We start from the raw sequence: 5585 nt of genomic DNA, 5'->3' as shown, positions 1-5585 counted from the left end.
CAGAAAAATGGCAAAGTTTCTGACATGGTCTTTGCCATGTCAATATTTCATGGAAGTGAAGTATTTCCAAAATGAATTTAGCCAAATATTTTCAGCAGACATAAATATATGGAGGAAGCTCTATGTAGTCTAATTTATTATTTAGCAAGAGACATAAAGTGTATGATGAACAATAAACAGTAATATTTTAAGTTCAAAGTTCCTACTTTAAAAATGATTTTGCTACTTCATGAAGAATGTATTTCAACTTTCTGTCTTTACCTACCCTTGGTGATCAAAGGCACCTGGCTGATTATTATTCAAAAAGAGAAAATTAGAAATTTAAATTTTAGAAAGAAAGATATGTCCACCTCCTCTATCACTAATGCCTACCTCAGTCATTCATTTTTCTGTTATTACGGGGGAGGAAGAGGGAAGCTAAGTGGTGTTAACTTCCACATGGGTTAAATGCATCACTTTGATGTTTTTCATTAACAGTATTTTATTCAGTAGATTATATAAGACGTAAGTAAGTTTTTACAATTGGGCATCTTGTCTGTGTTTTTGCCCTCATGAGAATTTTAGTGAAGAAGTCAATGCATTTGTAAAAGACTGTTAAAGGAGACAGGAGGAATTAAGGAGGGATAACACATAAATTAGGGAAACATTGGCTTTAAGCACAGAATACAATTTCATGCAAATATAGTTCAGATAGTTCTTCCTGGGGCACATTTTTGATTTTTATCTTAGTTTTTTTTTTTTTTTTAAATGTTTCCCTTATGGATGTACCAATTAGGAAGGAGAAATGTAATAATTTTTCATTTCTACTTTTCAAGGAGTAATTCGTTTTGGTTTATTCACTTGTGAGATCAAAGCCACTTTGTTGTTGAATTTAATAAATCTTAATAGACAAGTCCCATTTATTTACCTGTAAGCCCAAGCTGATGTGGTGTAGTATTCCTTCCCTGGCTGGCTGCTTTTTTGCTATAGAGAGATTCTTTCCTCGTCATTTTCTCCCTAAAATATAAGCTTCCTTAGGGCAAATTCTTGGCTTACTCCCATCGTATTCCCAGCACCTAAGAAAATATTGCACAGATACTGAACTCTCAATAAATATTTGTTGAAAATTTGAATAGATAAATGGAATCAAGGGATCTTTAGTGCCTCTTGGGCATAAATAGAAATTATTGTGCCAGAATGTCCTGGGTGTAGACCTGAAGATGAATTAAATAGTTTTGTAACCTACATTGACTGTATTAAAAATTTACTCATTTGCTTTTTTTTAAAATTGACATGTTATAATTATACATATTATGGGATACAATTTGATGTTTGATACATATATATTGTATAATGATCAAATCGGGTATAACCATCACCTCATGCACTTATCATTTCTTTGTGGTGAGGACATTTAAACGCCTCTCTTCTAGCTATTTGGTAATATACAATACCTTACTGTTAACTGTGGTCACGCCACTGTGCAATGGAACATCAGAACTTATTTCTTCTATCTAGTTTTAACTATGTACTTGTTGACCAAATTTTCTCCATCCTCCCCTCCTGCCTCCCCTACTCAATCTCTGGTAACCACTGTTTTACTTTCTGCTTCCAACTCATCCACTCCTTTATTTATTCATGAATGTATTCTGTGGATCAGGCACTGGGTTAGGCATTGAGAACAACAGGATTTATAAGCCCCTGCTAAGAATTTAATTTACTGAAGATTAAAAGGCTTATTCAAACTTAGGCAATACGATGACACACAAGATGGACTGGAACTGCCAAAGGAGAGTGTAGACCCATTTATGGGGCACTGCAGGACATGACTTTGTCTTTTTAATGGGTCTTGAAAAGCCAGAGACCCTCACAAGTTTTTGCAATTAGACTGGCAACTACTTCAGGGCAGAAATAGTGTTTTTCCTTGTATGTTTTGTAGAAGGAAGAAGCTTTCTTCTAACTGGAAATCATTAAGTATATGTTGGTTGATTGAGTTATACTGATAACAACACCCTAACCCGTTGAAGAGATTTAAAATGGTAACAGCGATTCCAATTAGTCTTCCATGGAAAGCAGGGGTGTAAATGGCTTTTCTCAGGCAAAACTGGCTTTATTGGGTGCCCTTAAGATATCTAGGGAAAGACATATATTGCAGAGCTTCCGATAGTCTGAAAGTAAGAAAGCTTGAATATCTCCATGGAACTTTTCCTCTGGAGTGCCTATAAATTCATTTCCCTGGACTTGGATATAAATGAACTGTGCCTCATTTGCATTGTGTAACCCACTAAAAAGGAAATCACCCTCCACATAAAAGAAGATGTGGAGAAAGCATTTTCCAAGTGGACCGAATTTTAAATGTTTGTCTTATGTTATCTGAAGAAAGTAATACCTTCCTTCTTTTCTTTAATGTACCACCATTTGACAGGGGGTGGTTAGTGGTAGCTAAATTTTATTTGTGCCCCCTCCCCAATAATAGATTTCTAATTAAATAAATGTTAGATCCAAAATAGACGAAAGCATGAGATGGAATAAAAGACCCTTGCAATAACATAATGAGAAAAGTATTTTTAAACTGAGTTAACACTGTTTGAAAAATGAGGCAAACTTGATTCTGTCAAATCTGGGGCTCTCATGAGGTGAAGTTTTTGTACACACAGGCACAGATGTGTGCTGACAGATATTCAGAAGCGAGAGAAGATCATTCTGTGGAGAAACAGACATGAATTGGTCATATAAATCTTTGGAACAATCATAGATGAGTCAAGGCAAGTTTTTACAATGAATGCATGTTAACAAAACATTTATGATTTAGCCAAGGTGTCTCAATATTTAAAAATTGTACCGATTAGCAAGAAAAAGAGGTAAGTGATGATAAATCAGTTTTTCTCAAACCCAAAGACAAGCAAGGAAGGGGGGAAATAGCCAGCCTCTGTAATTTATTTACAGTAGAATGTGGAGTAATCAACTTGTCATTTTTTTCACTTTAAGATCTTTGAAAACCATAAGTTCTTAGAGACCTGGAATTGATCCTCTTTTTAGACATCCTTGTCTCTGATATAGGTTATAATAGACCATAAAGAGCAAAGGTGCCAAGTAGAAAAGGATAATCCATAAGAGAAAGTAAAGCTAACCTGCCATGCTTGTTTAAATGTGGGTGGCTCTGCCCTGGGAAGTCTCAAGGGACCCAGGCTCATCCTGTCTTCTTGCTCTGTTGCCTTCACACGTGGCTTCCATCTTGTGGTATGCTCACACTTCTGCCAGCAGAATGGAGGGCATACTTCTTCTTCTATAATAGCATGATCTGAAAATTGTACACTTCAACTTATCTCAGCTCCCATTGGCCAGAACCTAGTTTCAGGGCCACACTTAGCTGCAAGGAAGCCTGGGAAAGGTAGTCTTTGGCTGAGTGACTGGGGATCAGCTAAAACTCAGGGGAAAGAGGCAGAGAAAAGATACCAGGAACAATTAACAGACTCTGCCACTCAGCTTGAGAGAGGAATATGGGCAGAGTCTTGAAACTGAGATGGTGCAGGTTGAGCACCACGGCTGGGGTATGTGAAATGGAGCAGTGCCAAATAGAGTAAGAGGTCAAGCTGTGGTCAATAGATGAATTGATGAAGATTAATAAGGTACAAGTATTGACAGCTTACTCAGGACCAGATACTATCCTAGGTGGTTTGTGTGAACTCACTCATTTAATCCATCAAGCAACCCTTTCAAATAAGTATGATTATTACTTCCATTTAAGAGATTAAAAAAAAGAAAAAACGCTGAGGAACAGAACAGTTTAAAAACTCACTCAAGATTGTCATATTAGTCTGTTCTCATGCTACTAATAAAGACATACCCCAAACTGGGTAATTTATCAAGGAAAGAGGTTTAATGGGCTCACAGTCCCATGTGACTGGAGAGGTCTCACAATCGTGGCAGAGGAGACTAAGGAAGAGCAAAGGCACTTTTTACGTGGTGGCGGGCAAGAGAGCTTGCGCAGTGGAACTCCCATTTATAAAACCATAAGATCTCATGAAACTTATTCACCACCACTAGAACAGCATGGGAGAAACTGCCCCCGTGATTCAATTATCTCCACCTAGCCCCACCCTTGACACATGGGGATTATTACAATTCGAGGTGAGATTTGGGTGGGGACAAAGCCAAATCATATTAGTCATATACCTAAAAGCTGCCAATGTAGAAAGACAAACTTAGGATGAACAGATATTTAAACATTAAGGTCAGCATTGAGTCCATATGAAAGTGGAAAGGACATGTCTCCCCACTGTGCTTATTTTGGATAATCTCTTCAGATGGGGTTTATAATCCTGTAGCACAGCCCATAATTTGGCCACACAAGGAAAGATTTTTGAAAGCTGTCTTCCCTATTCATCATGACACTTCTGTCCTAAGATTCTTCCAAAGACATCCTCCGTCCATTTCCCTTCCTAAGCAGTGTTCAGTCTGTGATGAGGTCTTCTTGGCTCCAGTAAACAGTCCATCAATCCCAAGGCAAGGCCACTTCTGCCTAGCAAACCTCTGGCATTCTAGACAATGGTGAGGATAGGTACTTTCCCTACCTTACACTGGAACCATTGACTTTGCCTAGCTGATGCTGCCAGGCTGGGCTTGGGGCCTTTCCTCTCCTAAGAGTTTTCTATTCCAGTTAGCCTCCCCATGCCTGCTTTACCCATAGAGGCCATAAAGTATCTGGGGACATTTCAGCAAGTGGTTCTGGCCAGCCAGAGAAAAACTATCTCTATACAACTAGCATTTTAATTTATTAAAATTCAACACATTTATTATGCATAGTGAGGCCTAGAAATATGAATGAAAAACAATCTGTGACCATAGAAATCTTATAATCCATGCAGAGGGGTCCAATAACAATAATTACAAGGAAGAATAAAGTAAGCACCAAACGAGATGAAAGGTTGGTTTCATATCTATTGAAGAAGTATGATATCAATCCACTTTGAATGACTGACAGCAAATCACATGAGTAATTTACATGAGTTGAATTACATGTGCTATAAATTAGAAGAGAAGAAGACAAAGCAACTAAGTTAGGTCAAGGTCATTTCCAACCACCCTCCTATTTGATGAGAATGCATCCTGGACAGAGCATGAGATGGAAGACATGAATCTACTGTTGCCTCGGAAGCCTCTGTTCTCTTAGGCTGTAGAGATTTACAATGACACGTGCAAGGATATTGAACTTTAAAGGTGATTTCAGGCATTTTAAAGATTAACTTTGACCAAGTTGATTTATGCCCATGTGTTGACTTTATAATGTAACTCCTGCACTGGAAGTGACTCCACTTCATTGGAGTTTGACAAGCATAGAGGAAGAAAAGAACTTTCCTGGCAGAGGGAATGGCATGAACAAATGCACAGATGGGGCAAAGTAGAATATTGGAGCACAGGGCGAACTCACGGAAGAGGTGGGAGAGAAGCCTCAGCAAATCAACTGGAAGCTGAATATTTACCCATCTGGAATTCAGTTTTTCTATTCCACTCAGAATTAATCAGAGCTAGGGTTCATTTCACTTTCACATGCCAGATATCACAAGAAGCAAAATTGTGAAATAGGCACCAGTGGCATCTGGCTT

General features: G+C 38.1%; 2 annotated features.

Moving 5' to 3' along the window:
- Positions 2272–3471: an enhancer, noted in NCBI's record as "BRD4-independent group 4 enhancer chr6:142992915-142994114 (GRCh37/hg19 assembly coordinates)". NCBI's record gives its function as "activates an origin of replication core promoter dependent on BRD2, P300/CBP, MED14 and CDK7 cofactors, and independent of BRD4, by STARR-seq in HCT116 cells {active_cell/tissue: HCT116}" and the evidence as "EXISTENCE:reporter gene assay evidence [ECO:0000049][PMID:35650434]".
- Positions 3088–3327: an enhancer, noted in NCBI's record as "active region_25177". NCBI's record gives its function as "activates an Ori minimal core promoter by ATAC-STARR-seq in GM12878 lymphoblastoid cells {active_cell/tissue: GM12878}" and the evidence as "EXISTENCE:reporter gene assay evidence [ECO:0000049][PMID:35858748]".

This window comes from Homo sapiens, chromosome 6 (genome assembly GCF_000001405.40).
Source record: "Homo sapiens chromosome 6, GRCh38.p14 Primary Assembly".
NCBI classification, from domain to species: domain Eukaryota; kingdom Metazoa; phylum Chordata; class Mammalia; order Primates; family Hominidae; genus Homo; species Homo sapiens.
This window is presented reverse-complemented; position numbering and strand designations above follow the sequence as displayed.